Below are 12,364 nucleotides of genomic sequence, written 5' to 3' on the forward strand. Positions count from 1 at the left end.
CCATTGCACTCCAGCCTGGGAGACAGAGCAAGACTTCATCTCAAAAAAAAAAAAAAAGAAAACAAAAAAAGAAAGAAAAGAAAAGAGAAGAAAAATTCTACTGATTTCCCATCCAGGATTAAGTTCTCCAATGAGAATTCTCTATTTCAGCACCAAAAGCAGCACTGTGTTGTGCACGTGTGTGAGTCTACTGTTGGTTAGTCGTGGAACAACTCACCATGTCTCCAGAATATTCTACAAAGAGACATCTGCCATTTGCACGTGCATGCTATCGGTCCATCTGAAAAGCCTCATAGTCATCATCCTAAAGGGATGCTTTCTTAATTCCCCTGGCAACTTACGACTTGACAAAGTGACTTTGACCGGAAATAATCTGCTTTGGGAACCTCCCAGGTGACGGACAGCCTTGGACAGCCAGTTAATTTCAAAGGCCCAATGTGATAGTTAAGGTTGTGTGTGAATGTGGCCAGGCCACAGTACCCAGATATCGGGTCCAACGCATCTGGATGTTGGTGTGAAGTTATTTTTTAGTTGATGTAAACATTTAAATCAGGAGACGCTGACAAAGTAGATGATCCTCAAAAATGTGGGTGGGCCTTCTCTAAATAGCTGAAGCCTTTCAGTAAAAGGCCGATCTCCCCAAGGAAGAGGGAATCCTGCCAGCAGATGGCCTTAAGGCTTAAACGGTCATATCCATAGGCTCTCCCCTGAGTATCCAGCTTGCTGGCCTATCCTGTGAATTTCAGACTTGCCAGCCCTCGCAGTAGTACAAACCAATTCCGTAAAATAAATCTCTCTCCTCTCTCTCTCTAAAGAGACTATTGGTTCTGCAGCTCTGAACAATCCTAATACACCCAACCATCCCTACCAAAAAAAACCTATGTCTTTTCACAACATCCTAGGCCAATAGAGTGTCTTTCACCAATGACAGCCATGTTTTTCAGCCTTGTGGGTGAACAAAATGCTGAAGGTACCTTCTGGGAGGGGATTGTGGTCAGCACAGCTCTTGCTCACATCTTTTGTGCTTCGTTTCTTCTGTGCACCAGTTTATTCCAGCCCTTCGTCCCTCACAGCATTCTCTTCGACTGAACATTTTGGTGCATTCACTGACTTCCTGTGAAGGTCACCTATTCACTTCACTCTCTAATGCAGGGCTGAACTAGCTGCAGTGGCACAGAGATTAGGAGAGGCCCGAGAAGCAAGTCCATCTCTAGGTGCTCAGAGAAACATGGCCCTGGGGGTGGCCCTGAAGACAGAAACTTCCAGCAGCTGCTACCACAGAAGTCTACATGGGGTTTCTTAAGAGGAAGGCCAATCCCAGACATTAGGAAGCATCATAATAATTGATGACATTGTTTGAATGTGGCCTATAGGTCAGGCAGTGTTCTAAGGGGTTTACTGACCACACCTCATTTGGTCTTGCCAGCAGCCTCCCAGGCACATATTTCCAAGGATCTCCACTTTACACCTGAGGGATGCAAGGCACTCATCTGTGAAGTGACTTCCCCAAATCACATGCTATGACATGGTGAAGCCAGGACTCCTGAGACCCACCTGTCAACCACCAGATCAAGACTTGGTGATATTTGGAGATCCAAGTGTGTGGCTAAAAACAGGGTCAGTTGTCAGAGAGTGGGGCCATGCAGAGTATCTGTGCAAAGGGGGTGATGGCACCCTAGTCATACTAGTGGGTAACGGTCATTTCCTGGAGCACTGGGAAAGAGCTCTGTCATGGGGAGCCAGCTATGGGAACTGGGAAACAAGAGGAGGCTGGACTTCATGCTCGATTTAAACCCCAGCCCCATCACCACAAGCGATGAGACTTGGAGCAACTTCCACAGCCTCTCTGAGCTTCATCTGAATAGCAAGGATAAGAGCCGTTTCACATGGCTACTGTGAGGATTAAGTGTGAAAATAGGATGGTCCCAGGGAAAGTGGGTGCTTGGAATCATGACAGGAGCAAAATATAATCCTGGTTATCACAGATGTTGCATGAAGTCACGGCCAGACACATGGTGAACCCCACTTTGCTGGGCCTCAGAGAATAAGACTGAGTTCTTAGGGCACCTAAGGTCCAGTTGACCTTAGAGTCAGGATGGAACTGGCACTAAGGTGAGGGAAGTGAGGGGACCAGGGTGCACAGTTCAAGGAGGCACCCATGCTCTGGGTGGGGCACATACAGGGGAGGCAGGGGAGAACGAGTGCCTCCTTAAATCCTGCTCCCTGCATATCTGGACTGGGAAGTGGGGCTGCACCCAATGTTGGGGTGATGCCTGCAGGGAGGAACAGTCTACAGAGAAAACCAGGGACACTGCACCCAAGGCTGGCCCAAGTGCTGGTGAGTGACTGTCTTGTGATTTTAACTGATCTTGCGGTCCAAACCATCTAGTCATGCCTCAGAGCAGATGTTTTGGCTTAACTGGGTAGTTATCTGCACCACCCTAATAAATCAGCCAATTGTTCAGATTTATGCCACAACATTAACAGGTTGGCTTCACCTAGCAGTTGATCTATTGATATAATAAGGCACTGTATTTTCAAGAGAACATGAGGATATCCTTTGAGATTTGGATTTCTGCATAATATGTGGGCCCACTGGGTCACTTGCCGGCGCGAATAAATCTTACACACTCTACACTCACACTCACATGGAAATGTCTTAAAATCCACAGATAAGTACAAAACAGATTGCCAGCTGGCATACACAGTAAATATTTGTAGATACACATCAATTAAATGTTACTAGGAACTCCTGTGCTTAAGCACAAGCACTCAGGACCACATTCCAAATTTTCCCCACTCAGTTTCCACAGCACCAAGCCTCTTTAAAACATGAGGAAGTTCTGGGTACAAGGAAACTTCTACCAAGCTTTCGTTTAGAAGGAGTTGAAATGTCTAAGGTAAATTGGATGCTATAATGGAACAAACAGCAGATCCTAAATGAGGGTAGCACTGCCAAGCCCAGCCATAATGTTGTCTATTGTAATCACCCTGGACGTGCTCCAGCACCTGTGATGACTCAAAAGGTCCGTGCCGGGAGCACCAAAAGGAGACTCCTCTCTGCCACAAAGAATGTGTATTAAGCATTACGTTCTGGTCTAGCCAAGAGGGTGACATGCGGTTCCTCACTTGAGCAGATCTATTTCTTCACATCTCTGATTGTGTCACGTACAAAGGCCACTCGAGCACAAGCTCACGTCCTGTCCAGAGCATTTCTACACCAGGGCCACCTTGCCCTTGGCCTCCTATCTCTGGTTTCTGCCTCCTTCCCTCCCATTGCTCAACTCCAACTTCCCAGGATAGGATCAGTGTCCCATTGGAACCGCAGCACCAGCTCTTCCCAGCCCACTGAAGACCCTGCCTGTGAAGTCTCACTTGTCTTCAGGGCCCACAGGATATGTAGACTGGATGAACCTCAAACCAAAATAATAACTCTCAGCTGTCTCTACTCCACATGAGACCTTAGAGCCTGCAACCCTCAGGTCATAGGCCTTCTTCTTCTTAGAATGTCTTCTTATTCAAGGGATGATTCTGTTTTTAAGCCACACCTAAATATTGTGACTCTTGAATTTTCTTTTCTTTTCTTTTCTTTTCTTTTTTTTTTTTGAGATGGAGTTTCGCTCTTTTTGCCCAGGATGGAGTGCAATGGCAAGACCTTGGCTCACTGCAACCTCTGCCTCCGGGGTTCAAGCAATTCTCCTGCCTCAGCCTCCTAAGTAGCTGGGATTACAGGCGTGGGCCACCATGCCCAGCTAAGTTTGAATTTTGTATTTTTAGAGGAGACGGGGTTTCTCTATGTTGGCTGGGCTGGTCTCAAACTGTCAACCTCAGGTGATACGCCCGCCTCGGCCTCCCAAAGTGCTGGGATTACAGGCATGAGCCACCGCACCTGGCCAACTCTTGAATTTTCAAAAGATAACATACATGGGCAAATAATTATATCAAGCCATAAAGGCTCCGGTTACATACAAACTGCATCTAGCGTAACAGGATCAAATTACGAAACAAACGGTTCACCCAAAATTGATTGCCACACTCATAAAGTGAGAACTATTTAAAAACTGGAGACTGATGAAATGCCCATTGAATACTTCCCGAAGGTTTCCACAAGGTACTAGGGGAAGAGAGTGCAATGGGAATCTCGCCCGACACTAGGTCAGTGGCTGTTACAACTTTCATAGCAACTGCACATTTTACTTGTGCTTTTCCTAAAATTTACTCTTGAATTTAATAGTGATGAAGAATGTAGAGTGTATCAGCAAATTGAGACACTAGCAAGTAAGTGTAGAAAATAAATGACCATGAAATTTTTGGAGGAAACATTTGTATGGGTGTTTGTTTACCTTGTTTTGACCAGCATAGTATAATATTGTCGAATTTATGGAGTACCTACAACGTTCCACGTGTTTTTTATTACTCTGCAAGGTAGGCATTGTGGCTACGCACAGATGAATTAACCAAGGTTCAGAGAAGTAAAGTCGTTTGCTTAAACTTGCAGTCAGTAAGGGTCTGAGCTTGATTTGAAGGTGATCCTGTGAAGTTTGCTTTAAAAATACCCAGATATAGGAATAAGTACATGACAGCCAATCTGCTCTTCCCAGGATTACATTCCATGGGATTCTCCACTTTATTCGTATTGCAATAAGTAGTCTTGCCTATAGTCCTCAAATAAAAAGAGTAGATAAATGACAGAAATCTAAATATTTAAATTATCCAAAATATTTGATTTTGTTATGACTTTTGACCTCTTACCAAAAATGGAACAGGCAAAGTTTAAACATGGCTTCAGCCACTTTTCTGTCACTGTCGTTTCATCTGATGATCAAATGGGAATGAGCAGGAGATTCACGGCTCATATTATGCACAGAGTGAGTTATTCAACTTCATAAGACATAAATCTGACAGAATCATTATCCCGGAGCTCAATGACAACAGAGTCCTAAGAAGGTCCACAGTATATTCTCCAGTTTCTTCTTTATGAGTTCACCATCATCTCCTCTTTTGACACTCAGTGAGTTCACACACAGTGTGGTTCTCAAGGCCTTCCCATTCTGTTCAACAGGCATTATGAGAGCTCAGCGGCAGAGGACCACGGCCTCTTCAAAAGAGTGAACCAAATAGGGCGAAGGTAGCTTTGTCCCTAGGCATTCTTTAATGACATGATATAAATTTCAAAGAAGAATTCTAATAATTCAAAACAGGTAACACCATTTTTTTCACATTAATTTAAATGATTCTATTTATAATGAATTCAGAAATCATTAAATTAAATGTAGTATCATTTAAAGGAAGTGAAAATTGGATTATTCTAACTAATCTTTAAAATGCCTTTACAGATGCCAAAAAAATTGTTTAATTTCCTTTTGGTTTTATTTCTTATGAACAAGTATGCTGAGTTACAATAGCTGCATTTTCCACTTCATAACTAACAAGGAATGCCACTTCACAGAATAAAAAGGGAATAATGAAGGCATAGTGAGAAGTCGCAGGACATCCTACTCAAAAGCTAATCCACCAGCTACTATTAAGGAAACAGTCAGTGTGTAATGGGTAACTCAGGACTCAAGAGTACTTTTTCCGTTCAGAAGTAGTGGGTGGAAAGTTCCAATGAAGAAATTACCAGGGTTACATTATGCTCTAACATTTTGTTCTTCTAAGCAGTCTGTTTTAAAAGCATACTCATATTCCAGGGCTCATTGGTCGTGGAATTTCAGACTGGTTTGCTGTTTTCTCTTGATGCCTGAAATACAGGTAATACTTTGCATTTTTAAAATGCATTTCATTCCTATGTTCTGAGAGGAGGCATTGTATCAGAATCTTTTGTGCACTCAGCTAATGATCCATAGTAAGATCCCATTATCAATCAGGTTTGTCGGTATCGAACTTCATAAACAACTGATGGTAATCTTTGCTATGAAAAGTGTGGTACTGGGCTTAGTCACTCATAGCCCATGATAACAGAAGAGGTCACTAGTCCCAGCCGTCAAATACAGAAGTTAGGTCCTAGAAATCTTGAGAAGGTGTAAAAGTTGTCTAATATAGCCCATCCATCACTGTTGTCTAATTGGGAATTTCTTCATGGCCTCGTGGGAGTTTGTATTTCAGACACTCCGTAAGTGCCATAGATCAAGTCACTACTGCTAGCTTCTCTCATTGTTAAGTTATTGTGTTTGTCCCCACTTTATTATCTGTATGTCAACCCAGAACCAGAGCAGCTTCTGAGGAGTTCTGGGATTAGGATGTAGCTTACAAGGATGGGGCCTACAATAAAGTGGGGATAAAGCTACTTCTTCATATGGATGACCTCAGCCATCATTCAGTTTCTGCCACTGCTGCAAGCTCAAATTCTACCACATAGAGAAAATTTGTCCTAAAGATCAAGAAAACATATCATTGATTCCAATGAGAGGTCCTTACTCTTCTAACATTTTGGAAACCTTGTTTGAATAGGTCACCATACATGGATATATCCACTTAATGGAAAAAGAAGAACAGACTAAAAATAATTAGAAATGTGGGATTGACATAAATTCAGAGGGATCTTGAACACGGTACTGCTTTACCAGTCAGTACAGAGATAGAGCTGTTAACATCAGCTTATTAATTGCTGAAGGGGAAGCTGATAGGTTCTTCTTTTATTTTAAAACCTTGAAACTACATCATTGTATGATCCCGGGACATTTTAAGATGAATTTGGCAGTCTTATAGCATAAGGAAATAATTGAGTTTGATCTGTAGACCTCATTACTAGCAGAAGGCCACATGGGGATCCACACATTTTTTAGGAAGCAGGAATATTGAAAGGAGATTTCAACCATCAGAGGTCGACGTCCATAGAGCCTGTAACCTCCATTTTCCATTCCTTGTTGGTGCAGCCTGACTAATGATAGTCACTGGTCCTCACCAGTTAGAAGATGATGGAAAGCCATTTAAGAAGTAAATTCAATAATGCTTCCAGAAAATTCAGTTCTGTTCGTCTCCACATATCCTAGAAGGGACTGCCACCCACTCCAGTTGTGGGAATTAAAGGCACAGTGTGTATGAGCTGCCCCCAGCTGTGGTCTGGCAGAGGACAAGCTAATTAGAAGAGAGCTAACTACATTTAGAGATGTGGAAAAGTTATCCCGGTATTTCTGGCATGCCCAGAGCTATTAATCTCTTGCCTTTGAAAAGCACTCATGCATTTCCATTTTACTCTCACCCTTTTACTGCTGTACCTTAAGAATGTTGATCTACCTTGATCTATTGCTGTCATCCATCATCAGAATAGTAGCAACACACTCACCCAGCTATCGCTCTAAAACCCGCAGATGTCAAGCCCTGAGAGTGGGGGCTCTGGCTACGCTTCTAATGTAGAGGGCACCTGTTTATAAGGCATCATGTAAAAGCTATTACCACATTCAGAAATCACAATCCTCACAGAAACATTTTTAGGAGCCTCAGAGCAGGTTGTCTATAAGTGAAAAAGAAAGTGTGCTTATCAGCTTGCATGACAAGTGGAAGGCATGTGGCTTTAAAATCAGGGGGGAATGTTTTAAACAACAGCAACAGCCAGATTGCTTAGCAAAGATAGCAGGCAGTCATAAGACACTATGAAATCAATTCGCTGGGAACACACAGAGGGCAGCCAGAAAGGAGACTCTGGTCCAGTCTTTTAAGGCACTTCCTCCCTTTCTACCCACATGAACATTATTTTACACACTTGATGCTGATTTGTTTTTCTAAGGGTTTGAAGGTCTAAATTATTGCACTGTTTCTCCTATCCAGTATCCTTGCTTAAATCAGTGGAAATGTAATTGATGCAAAATGGTATATTCTATTCAAAAGCATGTATTCATCTGGAATTGCTTTGGACCAGAAAATATTGTGAGGACAGACTGTCCCAATTTTATTCTTTATGTTCAAGGAACAAGTCATTTGAGGGTTCGGGGGGTGGGAGTTTCTAAGTAATAAAATATCAACACAAGCTAATTAAACAAAATATGGCTAAAAATCTTTTACTATTAGGGCTATAATTTGGCAGATAATCTTCATAAGGCATCTGATAATGCTTATTAGATTTTAAAATGTACCACTGATATTCTCACAAAATTTGATAATGGGAAAAATATTAATATGTTACAATGCCAGCATAAACAAATATATGGAATAGAAGTGACCTGGAGAGAATGTACTTGCCTTTGAGGAAGGTGCTTTTGATCAATCTTGGTCAGTAAAGACAGGAAACTCAGGAATATGAGGCCATGACACTCCCTGACGTTGACAGTAAAAAGGTGGTTAACATTAAAGAAACCATGAAGAAGAATCCCAATATATCAAATGTCATAGGAGCACTGAGGGGTTTTTAACTTTTAAGTCCAGGGGTGCATGTGCAGGTTTGGTACATAGGTAAACTTGTGTCATGGGGGTCTGTTATGCAGATTATTTCATCACCCAGGTATTAAGCCTAGTACCCATTAGTTCTTTTTCCTGATCCTCTCCCTTCTCCTCCCCTTCACTCTTCGATAGGTCCCGGTGTGTGTTGCTTCCCTCTATGTGTCCGTGTGTTCTCATCGTTTAGCTCCCGGTTGTAAGTGAGAACATGAGCACTGAGTTTTAATATGCAACAGATTTGTTTAGATGGTGAAGAATATCGCTGCTCAAAGGGTAACAGCCAATGGGTTCAGCATTGTTATCCTCGGAAATGGGCTAGGATTGAAATTCTTCAAGAAACCTCAGGCTAAAACACCATCTCTCAACCAGATCTCTCAGCCAGCAGCTCCATCAACAGACAACATTCTTCTCAAGCATATTCAGGAAGCACATTTGGAGGTTGTGACCACCACTGAGGATGAAATGACATCTGAGCTGGCAGGTCCCTGAGCCCCTGATCTATGCTGGCCTATGAGGAGCAAGAGAAGTAGGAAAAAGGGAATTATTAACCCACAGTATGAGTCACTAAATAATGATAATGCAAAGAATCTTAAATATCCTTCCTGTGGTTGAAATAACTGGGCAGGTCAAGAACAAGTTGTCAGTACTTATTCTTCCCTCCTACTCCTGAGTTCTTAGTCACTGCCTGAAACCTCTGACAAATCTGTCCTCGCTCTAAATACAGATAACGAATTCTGGTGTTTAGAGCCCATGAAAGCCCCTTTTTCTATTTCACATTTCTGGAAAAAATAATGAACATATTTCAATAGAATCCATGACAAATACAAGCCCATAATAATGTCTCAGGGACACATTGTTAAGGGATTAAATGTAGCTTAATTTTTAACATAAAACATACCATCCCTGTAAAGCAGGGAATTTTCAAAGAAAAGAAACTCAATCTCATCACTACTTTCCTTCCCCTAGACAGAACTTGTTTTCCTTTTCCCCAAGGGTCTTCTTTAGGTTTTTCTTTCCCATACATTGCTTTTTGTAAGGCTGGACATCAAGTAATACCACTTGCTCTTTCTTTTGAATTAAAACAAAGTCTAATCCTGATTTTGATCATTGTATTCGAGTAACAGCATTGCTTCTTTTGACTTCGATGTTGAGGAGAACTGAAGATGCAGATCACTTACACTTGAATAGTGCCTGCAGGAGTACCACCTTTCCCCATCTCTGATGCAGCAATAACCAGCCCTTCTGGGTAGAGCCCCCAGAGAGCACCAATGTGTGGCTCATTTGAGGCCTGGGCTTAGTAGTGTTCACTGTTCGAGAGATTACATGAATAACAAGTTGAATCTATGTTGTTTTCATAGGGACTAGAGTCCATTGGACAGTCTGCAGCTTTGTGGCAGTAGCACACTCTTGTCATTCAGCCAGTGCCATAATCTCACAAAGAATTAAAGAAGATAAAAATAAGCAGGTGGTCCCATCTATGATGTCGTTTATCTTTACAAGAAACATACGAATCTAGAAGGTTTGAGAAAAAATTAAAGGGCAGCTCTCACTCATACCCAAAGATCCTCCATTGCCCACAGGATGGACTTTCATTCCCCCAGAGTAATCGTGATAAATATTCAAAGATCTCACTGGGATAAGCACACATCTGCGAGACAATGGTCTGAGGTGGGCAGATCTAACCTGTAATCATGCTACACACTGAAATAGGGACCTGGTTCACGGTATTAAAAAATCAGATCCCAGAAAACAACATACCATTTTTTTTGCATTACTAGATGAATGAATGATTGATTATTTGACCTAAGTTAGGAAGATGATAAATGTAAAAGTGCTGTGTAAACTGTTCTAATAACTATATTATAACTTATACTTATTGTTATCAAGGTAATTTTGTAGAATGTTTTAATACACTTTTATTCCAAAAGTTACCAAGAACACACTAGACTTGGATCTTCCTTAAGCAGAATGGTGATTTAAGATTAACCACCCTCTTCTATTCCACCACACCTTTCTCCGTGTCAGTGTGTTAGAATTCCCTTTTATCATTTTCTCTCAATCTCATCTTCTCATATTGTCAAAAGGACCATATAAAATGACCTCATAAACTCATTTAGGCTTAGTTGTCACCAAATAAATGTGTGAACCCTCCTGGTAAGTACAGCTGAGAGGGAATTAGAAAAACTAAGAAGGTAAATGAAGTTAAGGATCAATAAGGAGGGGTCCTTAGAAGGGTAAATAATGAGAGGTGGCTGTTCCAGCATCTCGGAAATTGTCACATAGCTACAAACCTACACATATATATATATATATGTGTGCGTGTGTATATATATAGTTATATTATATATATATAGTTACATAACTATATATATATAATATAACTATATATATACACACGCACAGATATATATAGTTACATATATACACACACACATATATATAGAGAGAGAGTTGTGGTTCTTCCTGACTTTCCTTGACATTCTTAGATGAACTGGTTTATTGATTTGTTGGGCTGTTTAGTGGAAGCTGCAGTATTTTTAGGTTTTTGGTGATCCAAGTTCCTCAAAAACATAAGCCGATAAAGCAGATAATGGTCATTCCAAAGAATTATACTATGTGATGACAAAAATAGACCATAACTACTAATAACTATCACAATGGTCATTTATTGGGCAGTCACCATGTATTGAGGCTGAAGTGATTTACATATAGGCACCCTGCCTTGCCACGTGGCAATCCAACAAGACAGGAGTCCTATCCCTCATTTCACAGATGAGAAACTAGGCCCTGGAGACTCAGTAAAAGGGTGAAGACTTTTCCAGGATAATACATGGTTTACAGGTAACTTACTAGAAAGGGCTTCACCCTTTTACTTCACTTCCTAGTCTATAAAACAGATGAATATTTCACCTTGAAAACATTAGGTAGAGAAATTGGGTTCCCTTAGCATAAGTTTTCAACCTATGTGTAATTTATTGGGGTGTGTTGCTCCCAGGCACTCAGGACAGACAGCGAGGACCTCGGGTTTTGGTTGTGGGTGCTATTGCATGCTGTGGAGAGCTGTGTGTAACCATGAGTAAATGCAGACTTAGCAACACCTGTTAGAACCTGGGTGCAGTGGTATCTTTCAACTTGACGTCAGTGGCACTTTAAATGATTTCAAACAGAAGGGCTCCAGCTGGTCCCAGAGCTGCAGGGTGCCCTTATTAGGATGTGCATCATATAAATATAGATGTGTACATAACACAAATATAGATCCCCCTTACAGTACACTCTGTGCTTGTATTGTTTGCACAGTCATAAAGAGCCTGCTCATTTTCGGAAGACTGTTTTCCCCCAGGAAATGCAACATTTTTTTTTTTTGTTTTTTGCTGTTTCAATTACAGTTGCAAAGGAAAACATTTGAAATGAAAAGTTAAAAATAAAACCATCATTTCAAGGGAACAATGAAATGTAAGCTCAATGCACAGTAGCATTCTGGTTTTTTTTAATCTTCAACAAGTGGTTTAAAAAATTAATAATGTTAAACATTCGATGAAATAGGAAATTAAAATGACGTGAGAAACAAACCCGAGTACATTAACTATCATCTGTTTACCTGTCCTAGAGCTAACATGTAAGGCCGAGAACGTCTGGCAGGAGGCCATGCGATTGCTTACCACAAATAAACCCTGAACTTCTTGAATATCAACCACCCAAATCCAGAACCAACTTACTGTTGCTTTGGCCCAATTCCATGAAACAACTCATTTCCTTGGGACTCCATTAGGAAAAATTAAACTTGCCCCTTTATTTTTTATTGCTTTTTATTTTTAGATTACAAAAGCAGTATCTGTTCAATGCAGAAACCTTGGAAAACTAATAAAAACACAAAGATATTTTTAAAATCATCTGATACTCATAATTCCACTCCCCACTGTTATAATCACCATTAACATTTTGGTATGTTTCTTTCTGGCTACTTTTCTGTGGTCCTTTACATATGTCAATT

At 41.0% G+C, this 12,364-nt stretch overlaps 1 long non-coding RNA gene across 2 annotated transcripts in view, besides 1 other annotated feature; it reads right to left on the bottom strand.

Moving 5' to 3' along the window:
• The window catches only part of LINC03082 (long intergenic non-protein coding RNA 3082), a 145,761-nt gene that overhangs the window by 20,025 nt on the left and 113,372 nt on the right, over positions 1-12,364 (bottom strand). The window contains exons 5-6 of one of the 2 annotated variants that reach the window (NR_187460.1): positions 8,179-8,253; positions 4,593-5,740 (exon numbers count right to left, since the gene is read on the bottom strand). The exons of the other annotated variant lie outside the window; for it this stretch is intronic. This is a non-coding gene — a long non-coding RNA (long intergenic non-protein coding RNA 3082). Of the gene's footprint in view, positions 1-4,592; positions 5,741-8,178; positions 8,254-12,364 lie in introns of those variants that run through there. 2 annotated transcript variants of the gene reach the window in all.
• Positions 8,258-9,457: an enhancer, noted in NCBI's record as "CDK7 strongly-dependent group 2 enhancer chr13:110664005-110665204 (GRCh37/hg19 assembly coordinates)". NCBI's record gives its function as "activates an origin of replication core promoter dependent on BRD2, BRD4, P300/CBP, MED14 and CDK7 cofactors, with strong dependence on CDK7, by STARR-seq in HCT116 cells {active_cell/tissue: HCT116}" and the evidence as "EXISTENCE:reporter gene assay evidence [ECO:0000049][PMID:35650434]".

The sequence above is a fragment of the Homo sapiens genome, chromosome 13 (genome assembly GCF_000001405.40).
Source record: "Homo sapiens chromosome 13, GRCh38.p14 Primary Assembly".
Lineage (NCBI taxonomy): Eukaryota > Metazoa > Chordata > Mammalia > Primates > Hominidae > Homo > Homo sapiens.